The sequence below is a fragment of the Homo sapiens genome, chromosome 3 (assembly GCF_000001405.40).
Source record: "Homo sapiens chromosome 3, GRCh38.p14 Primary Assembly".
NCBI lineage: Eukaryota > Metazoa > Chordata > Mammalia > Primates > Hominidae > Homo > Homo sapiens.
In genome coordinates, this window is record NC_000003.12 from 147,844,889 (window position 1) to 147,867,781 (window position 22,893).

General features: G+C 36.0%; 1 annotated feature.

Annotated features, from left to right (window-relative positions):
* Window positions 734-3,929: an enhancer, noted in NCBI's record as "VISTA enhancer hs1573". NCBI's record gives its function as "enhancer in: hindbrain (rhombencephalon)[6/9] | midbrain (mesencephalon)[6/9] | forebrain[9/9]" and the evidence as "EXISTENCE:transgenic organism evidence [ECO:0001131][PMID:17130149]".

A 22,893-nucleotide genomic window follows, 5' to 3' on the forward strand; every position in this document is an offset into this window, starting at 1 on the left:
AATTGATATCTGTTTAGATGATATAGACAACTTTCCCTCAGTCTCGCTGTTCTTCCCACATTTTTTCTTAATTTCATTCTAAGATCATCTTGTATTTTAATGGTACTTTTTACACATCTAACATTAATTTCCATTCTTTCCTCCATTTCATCAATGAAAATCTAAGTTACCTGTGACCAGGATGTACTACATTGCAGACAACTCTATATCTAATTTTTAATTTTATTTAAGAGATGTATTTCCTAGTTTATTGACTAATAAGAATGAAGAGGCCTGGGGCCCAACTCAGTGGTAAGTGATAAGTGGCCATGTTTGATGAGAATGTGACCATAACTCACTTTATGATAGAGAATTAATTTTGCACATATTTTATTCTATCTTTTTATTTTTCCACTTTGGTGTTTCAACATGACACGACTATTTGAAAGGTGAAATAATTTTATTACTTTGCCCACATATTTCCAAAGGATTAGATTAGTGATTTTATTCAAAAATGGAAAGATTAAGCTGAACAAGTGTTAGTATCATAAACTTAGCCTTCAGTTTTCATTTTTTCTCATAAAATATTCAATTATTAATTTTAAGGTGACACTTATAATTTCATTGTAAGTAATATAGTACTTAACATCATGTAATGCAATTTTTAATAATCTGGTAAACTACCTGAGCTTGAACATTTTTCTTGAAGATGCTACTGCTATTTTTTATGATCTTACATATCCACTAACACAGTTTTGCAGAAACAAGGCTGCTGAGCTAAATGTTCACAGCTCCTAAAAATTTATCAAGTTATTTTAACAGCAGTTTTAACTGCCATAAAGTGTATTTGCTGCTAGGAGATTCATTAATTGATGTATCACTCTAATAACTAAAAGTGTAAATATCTAGAATGTATTTTTAATTCAAAACATACAGTGATCTTTCTATTTGAGAGTAATTTTAGAGTAAAAGGGGAATTAATAATTGGCCCAGTTCCCCCATTCTGCAGTTAAAGAAACTGAGTCTCAGTTACATGAAGAAATTTTTATCATTGAAAAGTGCGACTTTTGCTAAGTAATACTTAAGGAGATAGCATTATGATCTATATATTTCTATATGGCTTGACTTTTCTGTTTTGTAGATGGTTAATTTTTTTCAACAAATTTTGATGTCCTAAAATATCCAGCAAAACATGGATATTATTGTGCTCTTCAATCTCTCTCACATATTATTCATATTCCATTTCTCTGATTCCAGATGTAAAAACCAGGAGGTACACCACGAGACATATACAATGGCATTCCAATATTCTTAAATATATGTGAAACTTTCTGCTTCTTAAAATATCTATGCAAATTTCAAATGGAAAAGAAATAGCAATTCCATAGATTTTTATACAGACTTTACAGCCAAATGAATATTTCTATAGCCTTATCTGGCTTTAACTTTTTAAAAAAATATATCGAGACATTAGCAAACTCTGGAATCAGAAAGCTATATTAAAGTGAATTTGAGCCTGTGACTGTATTAAAGTACATTAAAGTGAAGTAAGCCTCTCTTATCAGTAAGGATAATCTAGCATCTGCGACACATAGGAAATGCGTGTGTGTGTATATACTCAACAAATGTGAAATATATGTGCACACAACAAATGCATATGCGCACACACTTTTTAAAAAGTGTAATGGTCCTGCAGAGCCAAGCTGAAGAAGATAGACTTACCTCATACTAATCCATGTTTTCTAGCTTCATGGGGGTTTAGAAAATTTTCTATTGGGCTTTCTTGTCCACTGCATTAAAAGAAAAAAATCAAGGACTAATTTGCTAAGCCACAAAGCCTGGCCCTCCTCAACCCATTATAAGCTGTGGATATGCTGAATATGAAAGAAAGACATGAATGAAAATGTGAACACTTTCTGTGGGTTACAAAATTCTGAATACAATGTAGAATCCTTTCTTGAAATGAATACTCTTTATGTGTGTAGGTGTATAAGCATTACATGCATAATATATATAGTAACATATATGTCTTAATGTGTTCATTTTAAAACAAATTTTTATATAGTCTGGCCGTAATACTTTCTATCATAAACTGTTATTATATTTGACATAATTATGTTGCTCAAGCACCTGGTTAATCTTTATCTTAAATTCTGTATCAGCCAGGTGTCCTCTTAGGGATCACATAAAGATTGGACTTCGCTTAAGTGTGAAATAATCCTGTTGCTTCTATCTGAGAGTGAATGAGCCCAGGATTAGATCAGATAAAACACACTCAAGCTAAAGTGCACAAGGTGGATTATGCAAGAAAAGAGGATTTAGTGAAGAACGGATCCACAACTTTTTGTTAACATAGAGAATGGTGGCTTTTGTAAGAAACATTTGTGGAAACTCAACTGGAGCTTTAAAAGCTGTGTCTTTTGTTGTACATTTCTCTGCATACATTTGCTTTGTAGTTGGGAATGCTAACTTTGGAAGCCATGCTGGGCCAGGACTCATGCTCATTTTGCCTAATGAAAGGCTAAGGATGTACTTTTACTCATACATTCTTGTTTTGTCTTCTTTGAAGTTTATTAAGCTCTCCTGAAAGATGTGAAGTTCATTAGGTTGTTATTATCATGGCCACAAATTAAATATCTGTTCCCTGGGGAGTCATAAGCTTCAAGAATAAGCTATACTTACTATAATATTTACTTAATTACTAACATACTGCTTTTTGTTCTTAATATAAAATCATAGCACACCTATAAAGGTCTATTCAGATATGTTCCGAATTTAATGATATACTTGTTTAATTATTAACATCCTATTGCACCTTCTCAAATTTACAAGTTATACATAGAGAAGACAGTTACAAAAGCAAGACATGTTTTAAGCATTTATGGTAAGGTTTTGCGCTAGAACGTCTAAATATCATAATTCTGTGTTACTCTCTGAGGTAGAGTTTTTCCTATATTAGGAATGTTCCCTCACCTTTGAACTGCCAGGCACAATGCTATAATGACATTATCTGTTTGTGTGTGACATCTTTAGTTCCAACATTTGTTTTAACATAGAAGTCATTCAAAGGGTAAGACAGACTTTCATTGCATCTATTGTTTTTAGTTTGTGATAGAACCAATCAGTGGCAGCTCTAACTTAGAGATTAAATGATTACCATGTCCATTCCACTCAATTATTTCCACCTTATTGAAATTAATTTGTTCAGTATCTATGTATTCTGTGATCAATCAAATGATTATCTATTGGAAGCCAGTGAATACTTCTTATACTTGCTTTTATAGTGAAGCACCATGTGTTAAGCAGTTAATGTGTGTTTCTTTTAATGTGTGTTTCTTTTAATATGTACTTAAAAGTAATAATGAAGTAGATATGATCAAAACACAGGTAATTCTTGAGGCCTGGCTATAAAAATCATTACATACAATAATCAATTTTTGATTGAGAGACTATTTTAATACAACTGAGTTCTCAAAAATAAGAACCATATCTTTTGCAGGAATTCATTTTGCTATAATTTATTCCTAATAATGAAGTATTAAGGCATAGTTACCATTCCACAGAAATATTGCGTGTTTGTGCTAAAAGAGGAGTAGCTCTACTTTCACTGTAATGGGATGTGATTCAAAATGAAAAAAAAAGTCTGTATACATCCAAATATGTCTCCCACCAGACCACCAAATACAGGTAATTTTTACCAAGATGATCTTTTATTATATATGTGTTTGTGAGATTTAACTTAAAATGGCCTAAATTTGAGTAATAAATTTAAAAATTAACACATTAAGCTAGTAGAAGGTGAATGACCATTCAGCATTTATTATTTATTAAATGTAATGTTGTATGATGCAATGAATGAATATAAAAATAGCTCAACTACTATAGGAAAACGTGAGAAAATTTCTATCTGTTGGACTTCAATAAGAGATGGGTGTCTGGCATCCTCATTTGGATAGTGAATGAGTTGGTAACTATTTTTCCAGAAAAATAATGTCATGATTTTGCTTTAACTATGAGAAAATTTGAGCCAAATGCATGGTCCAATTCTCTTACCTCTACAGGAATGCTTAGCATGCATTTTTGCATGCTAATTCCCCTCATAGATTATTTTTTCTTAATCACATTTTCTCTTCAATCAGATTCATTTACTTATTTGTATCATTATTTAGTATCAAAGATATTTGCATAGGTTTCTTTAAATCCTCTGTAGAATAGAACAGAAAATAGATACAAAAACAATCCTATGGATGATTAACTCTTTATTTATTTAATCTTAATTCTTACATTAAAGTTTTTATTATAGTTCACAAAGTGCAATTTGTATGCATACATTTTCTCACTTAATTTTGAAATATATGGTAGTTTAGCCAGAGTTGGATAAGATTTTATATAGCTTTTATATATTGCTGTAAATATTTTATATATTTACAATTGTGATTCTCAAAGAATGATCAATTAATCAAGTAGTACACAGATACTTTGTCAGTTTTGGAAGAAGAATTTATACAATTTTTTTTACACAAGTTTCAGAAATTTGAATTTTAAAAAACTAATTATTATTATTATAAAAATCTTAGCACTTGCTTAATCTTTATTATAGGTTGGGTTGTACTTCAAAGAATGCTCTTAGCAGTTTATCTCAGCTGCATGACAGCTTATGTTAGGTACCTTTTTATATCACTGTATATTATATTTTACATGCATTAAATCTGTATGTTTTATATAATTAGTAGGTTGTTAGTTCCCTTTAAAATTTTTAATTTCTAATGGCTCAAAAGTGGTCCATTGAAGATCCAAAGTCTTGAAAATTAAATGACTGTATTTAAAATAATGCCATAGTTTTAGATATTGAACAATTCTCCAATGAAATTATAAAATGTAAATTTATATGTGTTGGAATAAGAGACAATATCATGATGTCTTTGAAGAAAACTGGGACTGCAAATTGTAACATGCAATATCAGAAAACTTGGTTTTATTTGACCAACTAGGGGCCATCCTAATCTTCAGGATATTGTCTGTTATAAAGTATGATCTAATAGCAACACAAAGCTATGAAGACTAATGCCATTGTCAAATATCACAATAACCTCACTTGTAAAATAATCAGATTTTTTTCAGAACAATCACAAAATTATGATTTTTCAGTATGACATTGATGAACTGTTCTGCTAAAATAGAAGATGACCAAAATTTACTATTTTCCTTATAGCAAAACCATTTGCAAGTCACACATTGTCAGAAGCATATAAAACCATCTGCAAAGAGACAAATAGTATGCTCAGAAGCTAACAAGGCAAGCTGTTGGCAAAACTCTTTTATTGAATGCCTTTTTTTTGCTTTTGTTTATCAATAGCACACAATAAGAAGAGAAATACATTGTGTGGGCAAGAAAAGAGATTTTTGACTTATATTTGGATGAAATCTCTAGTTAAAAAGTGAGAATCGGCCGGGCGCGGTGGCTCACGCCTGTAATCCCAGCACTTTGGGAGGCCGAGGCGGGCGGATCACGAGGTCAGGAGATCGAGACCATCCCGGCTAAAACGGTGAAACCCCGTCTCTACTAAAAATACAAAAAATTAGCCGGGCGTAGTGGCGGGCGCCTGTAGTCCCAGCTACTTGGGAGGCTGAGGCAGGAGAATGGCGTGAACCCGGGAGGCGGAGCTTGCAGTGAGCCGAGATCCCGCCACTGCACTCCAGCCTGGGCGACAGAGCGAGACTCCGTCTCAAAAAAAAAAAAAAAAAAAAAAAAAAAAAAAGTGAGAATCTACTCTTAATATATGTTCAAGAAATTATATATACTCAATAAGTTACTATCATATTAATCTTTGAAGACCTAAATTACAGAAGAAACATACTTATTTTATGAGCCATGTTGTAGATTGGAGAAAATGCTCCAGGCTCATTTCTGAGTGAGCACAAGCAATGTGTGCATGGGGAAAGGTATTGCTGAATGAATTAAAATGGCACTGCCAATCCACACACTGCTTTGCCCACATACTGCTTTATTCACACAGACCAGTTGGTGGTTAACATAATGCCTTCTGACTTTGATTTAGTGCTGAAGGAAATGGTGAAAATTGTGGTCGAATGATGCTAAACATTTGAGAAACTGTGTTAAATGTCAGGCTCTTATACTGGCTTACTAGAATTATTGTCAGAAACTTTCTAATTACTTTTTGAAATCATTCTTGTGTCACTCTAATCTAAGGGTTGGCAAACCTACTATGTAAAGGATTCAATAGTAAACACTTTTAGCTTTACAGGACATATGGTCTCTGTTGCAACTACTCAACTCTGTCATTGTAGGAGGAAAGCAGCCATAAACAATATGTAAACAATAAGTGTGGCTGTACTTGGACAACAATTTATTTACACAAAAACAAGTAGTGGGCTGGATTTGGCCTATGAACTATAATTTGCTGACTCCTGCTAATCCATATCATACTTACTGCAGAGTGATTAATGTAGTGAGCATAGCACATCTTTACTTAAAAGCCTTCAAGCATCCTTTATTTTGTCCATTATAAGGCCTAAGTTCTTTTGTATGGTATTCAAGATCCTTCTTTATTTGACTCCTCTCTCCCTCTTCAATCTCATCTTTTCCTGTTCTTCCACATGCCCTTTACTGAATCAATCAAACTGTTTGTAATTTTTTCAGTGTGCCATGTTCTTTAGGCCTCTGTGCCTTAAAAGACTTGCAGAGTCTGAGGCAGCCTTGACCATAAAACTTAACAGTTGTACTGTTATTATTTGTTCATGTCTGGCTCCTGAATTATAGTGTGAGCCCCTTAGGGGACTAAAGAACATTATATTTATTTTTGTAAAGATAGTGCCTAGTATAATGCTTGGCCAATCCTAGATACTCAATAAATGGTTGTTGAAAAATAGTTGAGCAATTGAAGCTCATCCAACAATGAATGGATTAACTCTGAAAGTAGTAAATTATCTACTTAAGTAAAAATTGAGGCAGAAATCTGAAGACTAACCACATGGAAAAGAAGTTTTAGAGTACACATTAAACTTCAGTAAAGTTATTTATACTTTAAACTGAATTATTTTTAAAAGTCCAGTTGCATTAGAGTTGGTGGTTTCTTAATTCAAATTTAACTGATTACTTGACACACTTGCATTTTCTAAACTTTTTTTGCATTTTTAATTAAAATGCTAGTCATCATTTATATAGTGGGATTTATTAAAATATTCAAATTGAATGTGTTTTTCTTCCATACACAATCACTCAAGAGATAATTTTTGTAAAGTTTGAAAAAGGAAAAAAAATGTGTCTGGTTTCTGTTTCTAATGAGGATAGGATAGCAGGCACTGGATTTACCATTCCACCCAAAATAACTAAAAAACTGGACAATATATACATAAAAATGTTTTCAAAACATTGGATATTGGAAAACAGGGAACAATAATTTGTCTCTGAGAAATGAAAAACAAGTAAGTCAAGCATCACGACTTGCTATCTGGAAAATTCTTCCAGATTGCAGTGTGGAAAGTAGGAACACAGAGGGAGTTGGGACTCTCCCTGACTTCACAAGAGCTTGCTGGGAGTCCAGGAATTTCACAGCTACCTTAGGTGAGAAGACAGCTGTACATAGAGGGAGCTCCAGATATCTGCAGAGACTGTTCTTGAGGATTTCACTGAATACTGATCAGTACTTGTGTGTAAAGAAATGACCTGAGATGAGGGAAAGAATTACCCCAAAGAATTGGAGGAAACAATTCACAGAGATCACAAAGAAATGGAAATGATGTCCATGCCTATCAGAATTATGGGTGAAAAACTCAAAATTCACAGGGAAATAGGTGGAGTATTGAGAAGAGTTTGGCTTCAACTGTGAGCCTAAACTTAGCCCTAAACTTAACACTGTACTGGTCCTGTCTAATAAAGTTCAAAGAAAACCTGCAAGAATGAAACTATTTCTGACTAACTTGACTACTTCTCAGAATAAATCTTAACAAAAAGGTAATATTTACAATATCTGGCAAATAATAAAAATTATCAGTTATGGACGAAGCAGAGATGACCCATATTCAGGAGAAAAATCAATAAATTGAAATTAATGCAGAATTGACACAGAGAGTAGAATTAGTAGATAAAAACATTAAATCAATTGTTATAACTGAATTCTATATATTCAAACTGGTAGAAACATTTAAAGGGTTATGTGGAGAGACTGAAGAAATAAACAAGGCCTCAACTGATCTTCTAGGGATAAAAACCATAATGTCAGAGATGAAATCTACATTGAATAGGATTAGACACTACAGAGGAAAATATTGAACTTGAAGACATAACCACAGAAACTACTCAAAAATGAAGCACAGAAAGAAAAAAGACAGAACAATAAAACATGTTAAAAAGTTGGTGAGAAGTAACTTCAAGGGTCCTAATATACATGTAAATGAAGTGCTTGAAGAAAAGGAGAGGGAAAGAAAAGCAGGAAAAAAATTAGAGACATTAATGGCAGAAATTTTTCCAAATTTGGTGAAAACTATAAACACATAAGTCCAAAAAGCCCAATGAATCTTAAGTACAAGAAACAAGAAGAAAACTATATGAAACTACCTTATAACCATATTGCTTAAAACTAGCAATAAAAAATTTTAAAAGCAGAGAGTAAAAAGACACATGATATACAAAGGAACAAAGACAGATATGACAGTAGATGTTTCTCCATTGCTTTCTGTCTTACATTGTTTTAACTTGCAACAATGTAAGGCAGAAAACAATGGAGAAACATCTTCAACGTGCTGAAAGAAAAAACAAAAAGAAAACAAAATTGTAGACTTAGAATCTTTGCCTATTTAAACTATCTTTCAAAAATAAAGTTGAGTTTAGTGGTTTCTCAAAAAGTTAAACATATTTACCAAGACCCAGATATTCCACTCTTGGGTATACACCCCAAATAATTGGAAACTGCTGGGATTCAAACAGATACTTGTACAGCAATGTTAATAGCAGCATTTTTCAACACAGCCAAAATGTGAAAACAACCCAAGTCTCCATGAACAAATGAATGGCTAAACAAAATGTGTTATATACATGCAGTGGAATATTATTCAGCCATAAAAATGAGTAGAATTCTGATACATGCCATGACATGGATGAAACTTGAAAACATTATGATGAGTGAAATTAGTCAGACACAAAAGAACAAATATTATTTAGTTCCACTTATATGAAATATCTAGAATAGGAAAATTCGTAGAGCCAGAAATAGATTGAAGATTACCAGAGGCTGAGAAGAGGGGGCTTAGAGAGTTACTGTTTAATGGGTAAAAGGTTTCTGTTTGGTGTGATAAAAAAAACTTGGAAATGGGTAGTGGTGATAGTTGTGTAACATTGTTAATTTAATTAATTCAAATTTAACTTAAAAATAAAGGAAATTTTATGTTATATATATTACCCCAATAAAAATATTTTAAAACGTCATTGTTTAAAGAAATCCCCAAAGTTGTTTAAAATACTGTTTGGCAAACAGTGTGTATCAAAAAATGGAACAAACTACACCAAGCTGAGATTAAAGATTTTCTAAGACATACTAAAGCTGAAAGAGACCCTCTCCAGAAAACCTGCACTACAAAAAATGTTAAGGGAAATATGTTAGGCAGAAGGAAAATCATACCAGATAGAAATATGAATCTGGCTGGGAATGGTGGCTCATCTTTGTAAATCCCAGCACTTTGAGAGGCTGAGGTGGGAGGATCGCTTGAGCCCAGAAGTTCAAGACCAGCCTTGACAACATAGTGACACCCTGTCTCTACAAAAATAAATAAATACATAAATAAATAAGCCATGCATGGTGGCACACTCCTGTAGTCCCAGATATTCCACAGGCCGAGGCAGTGAGCTATGATCGCACCTCTGCCCTTTAGCCTGGGTGTCAGAGAGTGACAGAGTGAGACAGTGCCTCAAAACAAACAAATGAAATAAACAAACAAAAAAACCAGAAACTGAGAGGGCCAAAATGGTAACTACATGGGTAAATATAAATACTTTTTATCATTATTTAAATTATTTTCAAGATAACTTTAAGTGGCCGGGCTTAGTGGCTTATGTCTGTAATCCCAGCATTTTGGGAGCCCAAGGCTGGCAGATCACTTGAGCCCAGGAGTTGGAGACCAGCCAGGGCAACACAGTGAAATCTGTCTCTACAAAAACTACAAAAGTTATCTGGTTTGGTGACTTGTGCCTGTAGTCCCAGCTACTTGGGAGGCTGAGGTAGGAGAATCTCTTCAGCCTGGGAGGTTGAGGCTGCAGCGAGCTGTGATGGCATCACTGCACTCCATCCTGGGCAACAGAGCAAGACCCTGTCTCAAAAAGAAAAATTCTTTTAATGAATAACTTTAAGGAAAACATAATAAAGTATTTCCAGGCTTGTGACATATGTAGAAGCAATACTTATTACAGTAGTCTACCAAGAAATGTAAAAATACTTATTTTGTAAAATACTTTGTAAAAATATGTATTACAAAGTTTACAAAGGGAGAAATGGAGAAATACTGTTGCAAGGTTCTCAAAGAATACATAAAATAGTATTATATCACTTGAAAGTGTACCATAATAATTTAAAGATGTACACTACAAACCCTAAATTTACCACTAAATAACAAAGTTATAGCTAATGAACCATTGAAAGACATATAAGAATCATAAAAATAATAAAAAAGAAGCTACCCCAATAAAGGTAGAAAAATTAAAGAACATAGAGCATGAAAAGAAAATAGTAATTTTCTCAATAATCATCACATTAAAGGGCAGAGATTGTCAGATTATATTAAAAGAGCCATATACAACTATGTCTTGCCTATAAGAAAGTTACTTTAAATACTAAACACAAATAAATTATAAATAAAAACATGCTAAAAAATACACCCTGCTAAAGCAATAAAAATTAAACTAGAGTGATTATATTAAGATCAACCAAGTACATTTTGGAGCAAAGAATATTACCAGGGATTAAAGAGGAACTTTCATAATAACAAAGGGATCAATTCTTCAAGAGGACATAACAATCCAAAATGTTAATGCATCTAATAGTAGAGCTCCAGATACATGAAGTAAGTAGACAGAAAATTATGTAGGATAAGGAAAATATGAAAAACACTATCAACCAGCTTACCTTAATTGACACTAATACAACACTCCCTCCCTACCCCCAACACACTAATATGTCTTTTAAATACATATGAAACACTTCCCAAGATAGATTTAAGTTATACAAAGTATGCTGTCTTTCTCAATGGAACTAAATTGTAAGTCAGTAATAGGAAGATATCTGGAAAAACTCCCAAATATGTAGAAACTAAAGAGCATACTTTAAAATAAATTATACAACCAAAAAATTAGAAAAATGTTGAACTGAATTAAAATGAAAACACAGTATATCAAAATACTGCAGTGAAGCTAAATGTAGATTTATAGTACTAAACACCTATTATCGAAAATAAGAAATCTCTCAAATTGATAACCTTGACTTCTACCTTGCAAAATAGAAAAAGATCAAATGAAACAAAAAAAGCACAAGAAAAGAAAAATATACATCAAAGAGGAAATCAATGAAATTGATAACAATCAATGGAGATAATAAATAAAATGAAAAACTGCTTTTCTTAGATAATAAAATTTATAAATCCTCCAAAAAAGAGAGAAGACACAAATTAACAATATCAAGAACGAAAGTGGAGACATTACCAAAGATTCTAAAGATATTAAAATGATAATAAGAGAAAATTATGAACAACTTTATCCAATAAGTTTGACAATTTAGATTAAATAAATGCCTTCCTTGAAAGAGAAACTATAAAACTATCAAGGATCACTCAAAAAGTAAATAACGTGATAGCCTTATATCAGTTTTTAAAATTTTAGAAATTGAATTTATAGTTAAACCTGTTTACAAAGAAAACTCCAGGACCAGATGGATTCACTGGAAAGTGTTCCAAACATTTAAGGAAGAAATAACATCAATTATACACAACTCTTCTAGAAAACTGAAGAGGAGGGAATATTTCCCTACTCATTTTATGAGACTGACATTTCTCTGACACTAGAACTAGAAAAACATTTATAAGAAAAAAAACATACTTACCAATGTCCTTTATTGATAGAGATTTTTAAAAATCTTAACACAACTTGAGGAAATGGAATTCAACAATGTATGAAAAGATTTACTATACCATACCAATTGGGATTTATTCAAGGAATGGTTGAATATTCAAAATTCAATCAATATAGTTCACCATATTAACAGACAGAACCATAAGAAAACCATATAATCATCTTAATAGGCACACAGAAAGTATTTGACATAACACACATTTATTCCAAATTAAAAATAAAGACTTCCAGCAAAGCAGAAATGAAAGATATAGTAGTTCATTTTGCATTGCTATAAAGGAATACCTGAGACTGGGCAATTTACAAAGAAAAGAGGTTTATTTGGCTCATGATTCTGCAGGTTGTACAAGCATGAAACCTGCATCGGCTTGGTGTCTGGTGAAGCCTCAGGAAGCTATTATTTATGGTGGGAGGTGAAGGGGAAGCAGGAATTTGACACAGCAAGAAAGGGACCAAGAGAGAAAGAATGAGGTACCAGGCCTTTTTAAACAATTAGTTCTTCTGTAAAGTAATAGAGTGAGAATTCACAGGGGATGACACCAAGCCATTCATGAGGAATCCACCCCCATGACTCAAACCCTTTCCACTAGGCCCCCATCTCCAACATTCGGGATCACATTTCAACCTGAGATTTGGAAAAGACAAAGATCCAAACTATAACCTTCTGTCCCTGGCCCCCCAAATCTCATGTTCTCACATTGCAAAATGTAATTATTCCTTCCCGATAGTTCCCAAAAGTCTCAACTCATTCTGGTATCAACTCAGAAGTCCAAAGTTCAAAGCCTCATTTGAGACTCAAGGAACTATGAGTCCTCACCTATGAACATGTAAAATCAAACCTAAGTTATTTACTTCTGAGATACAATGGTAGTACAGGCATTGGGTAAACATTTCCATTCCAAAAGGAAGAAATCAGCCAAAAGAAAGGGGTAATAGGCTCCACACAAGTCCAAAACCCAGCAGGGAAGACATTAAACCTTAAAGCTTTGGCATTACCCTTACCTCCATGATCTGCATCCTGGGCACGCTGGTGCCAGGGCTGGGATCCCAAGGCCTTGAGCAGCTTCACTCCTGTTGCTTTTCTGGGTGCAGTCCATGTGGTTGCTGTCAAGGACTGGAATCACTTGTGGTGTTTCTAGGCTAAGGGTGCAAGCTGCAGGTGTCTCTACCATTCTAGGGTCTGGAAGGCGACAGCCCCATTCCCACAGCTCCACTAGGCAGTGCCCTACTGAGGTCTCTGTGTGGAGGCTCCAGCCTCACATTTCCCCTCAACACTGTAGTAGAAGCTCTTTGTTGGGACTCCACTCCTGTGGCATGCTTCTGCTTAGGCACCTAGGCTTTCCCAAACTTCATCTGAAATCTATGTGGAAGCTGGCAAGCCTCCTTTACTCTTGCATTCTGTACACCTGCAGGCTTAACACCACATGGAAGCCACCAAGGCTTATGGTGGCTTGAGCTCTCCAAAGTGGCAGCCCAAGCTATACTTTGGGCCCTTTGAGCCGCAGCTGGAGCTGGGGCAGTCCAGATGCAGGGAGCAGCTTCTTGAAGTAGCACAGGCCAGTGGCATCCCAGGGCTTGCCCATTCTTTCTTCCTAAGCTTCTGTCTGGGCCCATTATGGGAGGGATTGTCCCAGAGGCTTCTGAAATGTCTTTGAAGCCTTTTCTCCATTGGCTTGGATATTAGCACCTGGCTTTCTTTCAGTCACGCAAGTTTCTCTAGCAGTGTTTGTTCCGTAGTCCATTTGTATTCCACTCCTGATGATGCGTTTGTCCTTCTCTGCCACACAGGATGGCTGCAATTATTTTAAATTGTTATGCACTGCTTCTCTTTTAATTATATGTTCCAACTTTAAGTCATTCCTGTGGTCTCACATCTGATGAGGGCTATTAGAAGCAAACATGTTATCTCTTGAACACTTTGCTACTTAGAAATTTCTTCCACCGGGTACTCTAGGCCATCAATCTTAAGTTCAACTTTCCACAAATCTCTAGGGCATGAATACAATGTAGCCAAGCTTTTTGCTAAGGCATAACAAGGGTTACCTTTACTTCATTTTCCAATAACTTCCTCATTTCCATCTGAGACTTCATAAGCCTAGCCTTCATTGTCCATATTTCTATCAGCATTTTGGACATAACCATTTAAGCAACCTCTAAGAAGTTTCAAACTTCCTCTCATCTTCCTGTTTTCTTCTGAGCCCTCCAAACTCTTCCAACCTCTGCCTGTTACCTAGTTCTGAAGTTGCTTTCATATTTTCAAGTATCTTTATAGCCATACCAAACTCCTGGTACCAATTTTCTATATTAGTCCAATTTCCATTGCTATAAAGGAATATCTGAGACTAAGTAATTTATAAAGTGTTTTTTGTTTTTTTTTTTTTTGGCGGGGGTGCTTATGTTTCTGTAGGCTGTAGAAGCATGAAACCAGCATCTTCTCAGTGTCTGGTGGGGCCTCAGGAAGCTATCACTCATGGTGGAAAGTGAAGAGGGAGCAGGCATATCACACAGAAAGACAGAACATGAGAGAGAAGAGGAGGTCCCAGGCTCTTTTCAATGAGTTCTTGTGTGAACTAATACAGTGATAATTCACCCATCACTCAGGGGATGGCACCAAGCCATCTATGTGGAATCTGTCCCCATGGCCCAAACCTCTTCCAGTAGGCGCAGCCTCCAACATTAGGGATCACATTTCAACGTGAGATTTTGAGAGGACAAACATCCAAACTATATCAGAAATAAACTTCCTCAACCTGATAAAGAAAATCTACACAAAAACCTACATTTAACATTATACTTAATGGTGAAAGGTCAAATGCTTTTTACCTAAAGTAAAGAACAAGTCAAGCATGTCCACTTTTACCAATTTTCTTTACAATTGTACTTGACCCACAGCAGTAAGTCAAGAAAAAAATCTAAAAGTACCCAGGTTGGAAAGGAAAAAACAAAACTGTAATTATTCATATATTGTATGATCAACTGTGTAGAAACTCTGATGGAATCTATAATACAAGCTACTGGAAGTAATAAGTTAGTACAGCAAGGTTAAGAGATACAAGACAGATATAAAAATTAATTTAACTTCTGCATACTACCAACAAAAGTTGAGATAGAAAGAATAATGTCATTTACAATAGCATCAAAAAATACTCAGTACTCAGGGATATGTCCGGGCGTGATGGCTCACGCCTGTAATCCCAGCACTTTCAGAGGCTGAGGTGGGCAGATCATGAGGTCAGGAGATCAAGACCATCCTGGCTAACACGGTGAAACCCCGTCTCTACTAAAAATACAAAAAATTAGCCTGGCATGGTGGCAGGCGCCTGTAGTCCCAGCTACTCAGGAGGCTGAGGCAGGAGAATGGCATGAACCCGGGAGGTGGAACTTGCAGTGAGCCGAGATCGCGCCACTGCACTCTAGCCTGGGTGACAGAGTGTGACACCGTCTCAAAAAAAAAAAAAAATACTCAGGAATAAATCTAACAAAGAGCTGAAGAAACCTATGTTCACTGAAAGCCACAAATTAGGCTAATTGTAATTAAAGATAGCTTAAATAAATGAAAAGTTATATTATGTTTATGAAGCAGAATACTCAGTAGTTAATAAGTTAATTTTTTCCGTATCTAGATTTACCAAAATATCAATGAAAAATCCCAGCATGAATATCTTGAAGAACTTGACAAGCTGATACTAAAATTCATATATAAATGGAAAGAATTTAGAATAGGGAAAACAACTGTTTAAAAAAAGTAAATTTGGAGTACTAACACTACCTGATTTTGAGGCTTGTTATACAGCTACAGATATTAAGCTTTTATGACAACATTAAAGTAGACAAATATATAAATGTAACAAAAAAGAGAGTCCAAAAATATCCCCACACATGTATGGTCAATTGGTGGTGCAAAAGCAATTCAGTAGAGAAAGGATTATCTTTTAACTAAGCTGAAACAATTGTATTTCCATAAATAAAAATGGAACTCAAATTCATATTTTATATAATATGGAAAGTTTAACTCAAAATTACTAATAGACCTAAATGCATAATTTAAAATTATAAAACATCTAGGAGAAGAAAAGAGAATACAAGTTGAATATATCTTATCTGAAATACTTGGGACCAAAAGTATTTTGGATTTAAATCGTTTTCAGATTTTGGATATTTGCGTATGCATAATAAGTTGCCTTAGATGAGACCCAAGTCTAAATGTGAAATACATTTATTTTTATTATTTACTTATTTATTTTTCTTAGAGACAGAGTCTTACTCTGTTGCCTAGGCTGGAGTTCAGTGGTGCAACCTCAGCCTCCTGAGTAGCCAGGATTACAGGCATCTGCTTTCATGCCTAGATAATTTTTTTATTACTATTAATTTTTGTAGAGACAGAGTCTCACTATGTTGACCAGGCTGGTCTTAAACTCCTGGCCTCAGGCAACCTTTTCCTCTTGGCCTCCCAAAGTGCTGGCATCACAGGTATGAGCCACTGCACCTGACCAAACACATTTGTTTCATATACATCTTATACACATAGCTAGAGTGTAATTTTAAACAATATTTTAAATAATTTTTTGCACGAAACAAAGTTTGTGTACATGAGGTCACATATGGAATTTTCCACTTGTGTCATCATGTTAGCACCTCGATAAAATAGCATTACATGTACATTCACCAGCATGTTTAAAATTAAAGGAATAATCACACCATGTATTGGTGTAAGTGTGGAGAAACTGGAACTCTCATTCACTGCTAATAGGAATATAAAATGGCATAACCACTGTGTGCCAACCACATCTTAGAAATTTCTTAAAAGTTTAAACATACATCTGCTATATGACCCACCTTTCCATTCACATGTATTTACCTCCCCTCCAATGAAAACATGTGTGGATACAAAGACTTATACATGAATATTCATATCAGCTTTTTCTGGAGTAACCACACATTGGGAAAAAGAAGTGTCCACCAACAGGTAAAAGAGCTTGGCAGATGACAATGTGGTGTGAGGCTATTTGGAAGGCTGAGGTGGGAAGATCACTGGAACTTAGGAGTTTGAGGCAATAGTGAGCTATGATCACACCACTGCACTCCAGCTTGCATCACAGAGAGGGATCTTGTCTCTAAAAAGAAAACGACAACAACAACAACGAAAATACAGGTGAAAGGATAAGCAAGTTGGGACTTATCCATACAGTGAAATATTTTATAGTAATAAAAAGGAATGAACTATTGATATCATCAACATGAATGAGTTTCAAAATAATTAAAAACAGGAAATACTGTTTGGTTCCTGTGGAATCCTGATAAGTAAGCAACAGTGAGGAAGGGGTCCCAGATGGAGGAGGGTCCCAGGTAGGGGAGAACAATGAACAATTGTTCTGAGAAATGGCTAATCACAAACAACTGGCACAACCACTTTGCTCTGCCACATAGCCCCAGCAGCACAAACTCATTCCGCATTAGCCTCCTCCAGCACAACTCTATAAAACTTTCCTCCAGCCCCCATCTCTTGTCAGACAGGTCCTTCTCTGCTGTGCTGTCTATTGCACTCTGTGTATTAGTCTGTTCTCACACTGCTATAAAGAAATAGCTAAGACTGGGTAATGTATAAAGGAAAGAGGTTTAATTGACTCACAGTTCCACATGGCTGGGGAGGCATCAGGAAACTTACAATCATGGCAGAAGATGAAGGGGAAGCAAGCACCTTCTTCACATGGTAGCAGGAGAAAGAAGAGTGAGCAGAGGAAATGTCAGATGCTTATGAAACCATCAGATCTTGTGAGAACTCACTCACTATCACAAGAACAGCATGGGGCAACTACCCCCATGATTCAGTCACCTCCCACCAGGTGTCTTCCTCAACACCCGGAGATTATAATTCAAGATGAGATTTACGTGAGGACACAAAGCCAAACCATATCACCCTTGCAACATATTTTCATACTTTCTCTAATAAATCTGCCTTTCTTTACCTGAAACTGACCTGGTAAATTATTTACCACTGATGAGACCCGGCCCAGCTAGTAGCATCGGCAACATTTTGGTGGCCTGCTGGGGGACTTCTTCCCTGCTTTGGTCTCCTCCAACTCCAAATTTTAAGTGGACAGCATCCAAGCCTGAAGACAAATAAAGGTCCAGGCCACTCCTTGGTGGACCAGAAGGCCCTGGTGGAAAGATGCCTGATAACTACTGCCCCATTGAGTGAGAGTTCAGAATTTGCTTTCATTTTTAGTTTTCCAGTAGACAAATTCTAGTACCCCTTTGGCAATTGTTAGCAACTGGCCAGGGCCACTTGCTAGTGTAGCCTGAAGGCCAGGGGGTGAAAAAGTTTGGCTGCCTTGCCTGGAAGGGAGAAAGGCTCTCTCCTATTCTTTCTGGTCAAAAGTCCCCTGTCCCTAGGTATAGTGCAATTGGCAGTGGAAGCTTAATCAGGGCAAATCTACACACGTTTTGGGGGACTCAGAACCCCCCTTTCTCACTCTAAACTCTCCCAGAAAGACAGTCAGCCATCCTGCTCTGGATGTCTTAAGCCAGGTGATCCCAAACAGCATGATCTTTCCTCATGCTGAGGGAAGGTGATGAGTCTTCCCTCAGACTTCTCCCCTCATACCTGGATTGAGCACCCAGCATACTTTGTACCTGGACTGACCTGGTGTCTCTCACCCTCTGTTCATCTAGAGTAAGGTCCTAGTACTGGGAGATCCTTTCCAACAGGTGGGATGTCTCTTCAGAAAGTGCATCTCAAAGTTGCTCAGTGGACTATAGTGGAGCCCTCTTCCTTCAGTTAGAAGCCTTGAGAAAAATTGACAGGGCTAAGGAGAAAAAAAAACGTAGGGACAAGAGGCAGGCTCAATTGCTGGCTGCTTCACAAATGTCCAGCCCACTCCAGCTTGCCCTAAGGACACTCATCCAGGTAACTGACACAGGTTCAGACAGACACTGGAAGGCAAACTGTACCAATAGGACAAATGGGAAAAAGCCCTGCACAGCTAGCCTTATCTGCCACAAGCTCAGCCACTGGAAATGGAACTGCCCTGAGAACCAAAGGGTCCCTGAGACAGAATCCCAATCCCTCATGGCCTTGAGCTGAAGGGGCTTTCTGCTCTACTGGCTTCCAAATCAAACATTGTCATCAATATGAGAAAGCCAAGGTCAATACAGGAGGTAACAAGTAAGATTATAAATTTTCCTTTGGTCTCAAGAGGTGCCTACTCTGTACTGATTACCTTCTCTGAGTAACTATCCTCCAAATCCTGTCTAATAATGGAGGCAAATGGCACCCCTCCCTCTAAAAGAAAACATTCACACCCTTTTATATTACTTAAGGAACCAATTACCATTCTCCCACCAGTTCCTGGTAATGTCTAAGTACCCCACACACCTTTGGGGCAAAAATATAATTTCCAAGATGGGTGCCTGCTTAATATTCACCCAACATCTGAATTCATTTTTCCTTCTAATAGCCTTATTTCTCCTGGGAAAGCTACCTAAATCTTTAATGAATAACTTCAACCTAGATAGTCTTACCTCAAGGGATTAAAATAGGCCACACTTATTCAGACAAGCCTAGCAATAAATCAGAGCAATCTTCTGATGGGGGATAACTTCTACAATATGTATAAAATTTTATTTGCTTCCCCTTTACAGGGCTCACACAGCAACATGCAATACAAACTTTAACTTCCTAACAAAAGGAAGATAATTTTTGTCTAATTCAGAGGTTATTTTAAAGTTATATATAAAAACAAGGTAAAAGAAACCAGGAAATAAGAGAGACATAAAGAAGGTTATAAACATAAAGAGCTATTTTTAGAAAGGAAGGTTATAAAAAAGAGATTTTACATGAGAAAGGATCTTGTATGGTAAGTTCTTGTCCTAAAGTAAAATGACTAGTTGTTTAAGAAAGAGAGATGTTTAGGACAAGTCAGAAAATCCAAGCATGTCATGGATGGTCTGTGTAAGTAATGAGAAAATTCATGGAAGGAAATTTGTAAAAGGAGTATTGTACACAATTAAGGTATAATATTTTCTCTAAAACTGGTTCCACATTCTGTGTCTAATTAAATTCAAACACTTTTTCACCAAGTTTCACTTCCAGGTTATCTAAATGGGTTTCCAATAAAGAGAAATAGTCACACTGCAAAAGGTTTTTCTTTGCCTTTTCAGTAACTGGCTTAAGAAACAAAATTTTACTTTCTATAATTCAGCAGTTTCACCTTCAAAAGATGCTGTGAACAGGATATAAGTCTCTTCCCAGTGATGCCTGCTACCTTTACAAATCTCTCCTGGATTCACCTGGACACCAGTTTTGCCTTGACATGCTCCTCTGTCTCTGATGAGTCCTTTCCTCCAAGAAGATCCAATATCCTAAGTCCCACAATCTGAGACAGTGACGCACAGGACCTCCTGACAGACCAACACTCTTAGGTAGGGTCAACTCTATGGTCCAGGCCAGCAGGAAGTAGTTGGAAGATGAGACCTTTTCCCTGATGCAAAAGATTTGTCATTGTTGTTTTGTCAGAGGAGGAATGTGTTATTCTAATAAGTAAGTAACAATGAGGAAGGGGCCCCAGGTGAAGAAGGGCTACTGATGGGGGAGGGCTACAGGTGGGGGAGAAAGATGAACAATTATTCTGAAAAATGGCTAAATCACATGCATCCCTCTGACACAACTACATTGCTCTGCATGTAGCCCCCTCCAGCATGACCTTATAAAACTTCCCTCCAGACCCCACCTCTTAGCAGAGAGCTCCTTCTCTGCTGTGCTGCCTATTGCACCCTTGCAATGTACTTTCATACTTTCTCTTAAAAACCTGCCTTTTTTTTACCTACAACTGTCTTGGTAAATTCCTTTATTAGCCATGACTCCAGCCCCAGCTAATTGCACCCACAACAGTTCCACTTATATAAAAATCTTAAAAATGCAAACTAATTTATTGTAACAGGAAGCCAATCAGTTGCTGCCTGTGTATCATGTTGGCATGGAAAGGTGGAAGGGAGAAATTACCAAAGGGCAAGAGAAAATTTGGGGGGAATGAGAGATAAGTTAATTATTTTGATTGTGGTATTGGTTTTATGGGTGTATACATATGATAAAACTTTTCAAAGACTATTATATAAATATGCACATTTTACCATATGTCTGGTATATCTTTAAAAAGCAATTAAAATAAAAGAGAAAAACAGTCCTTGCTCTCAAGGAGCTTTCTTTTTTTCCCCCCCAGAGACAACAACTGCTCTGTTGCCCAGGTGGAGAGCAATGCAAGATCCTAGCTTACTGCATCCTCAAGCTCCAAGGGATACTTCCCACTTCAGCCTCCTGAGTAGCTGCAGCTGCAAACACACACCCCCACACTTAGTTAATACTTTCATTTTTTGTAAAGACGGGGTCTTGCAATGTTGCCCAGCCTGGTCTTGAATTCCTGGCTTCAAGCTGTCCTCACACCTTAGCCTCCTAAAGCACTGGGATAATGGTCACTACTTACAGCCTCAAGGAGCTTTCACTGTTGACTCTTTTGGGAGGGTTACATGGTTCTACAACAGCTTTTTAGCAAATACATTCCAATTTAAATACTATTGCATTTTATAGGGTAAATAAAAGCATTTGTCAATTTAACAAATAGAAATTCATTTTTCTTTATTTATGTACACAATCTGCCAGACTCTTTTGTATTTAGTATTCCTAATGAAAACATTGTTAGCCTTCTAAGAATCACAATGTGTATAAACATGATGTCTAAGAAATAATGCCCTGAGGCAGATTCTGACCTTTCTCTGGTAGATAAAATTCTATATGGCTTATGTTCTATGAATTTCACAGCCAGTATAAGAATTAGCCACTTGGGAATTTACTACAGAATCAAATGTGACATCATAGTGTGTTTAAATCAAGAAGTAGTTTATTTTTCAACTTCATAAGTCTTCCGAGTGAAAGATAAGTTTTATTTGAGTGTTATGGCTTTTATATGCTGTGTAGAAAGCTCAAATTTAACCCCATAAAGAATTGCAAGCTGCTAGTTCATTTTGCTTCTTTTTGTCATTCACACATTTATATCATCATTAATCTCAAAAGAAAGATTGTTCTTCCAATCATCCCATCTTCCTTTGCTGCTTTTACCCTTGCTGCTCCTTCTGTTCTGGCCCATAAGATGTTCTTTCCTATTTCCTCTCCCTTCTTAATCTGCCTCCCTAACTTTCCCCAACTCACTCCCATGTTCCCTCCTTATTCCCCATCAACCTTAGAACTAACCAACTTGGGAATGAATATTTGGGAAAAACCTATTCACACAAAGAAATAACTAGTTGTTATATACATATATTGAACAAACACAATTTCTCACATATTAAAGTACAACTTTATTTTAATATTTTATGAATTTTTTTCATTGAGATTAATATATCTCTCCCCAGATAGAAACAGTAAGATTTCATGAATTTTGTTCTCACTCTCATATACAAACTTAGTCCAATAATTAGTGTCTAGTAGAAGGTATTACTCAATACTTTGATTTTCTTCCAAAGTTAAACCGTTCATTTTCTTTACATAAGCTAAAACCTGTAGTTAGTGTTTACCTGCACCATCGTACAAGAATTATGATTCAATTTCTTTCCTTTTTTATAACAACTTCTTCATTTGATTGCTGCTATGTCAGACGATTTTAGGTTCGTGAATAGGAGAGGGAGAAAAGGTGAGAGACAGAGCTTTCTTTATGAGGCTGGGTGGTTTCCCACTCTATGGGTCTGACTGATGGTTAAAAGTCAACCCTCAGTGGGTATTTAAGGGTTCT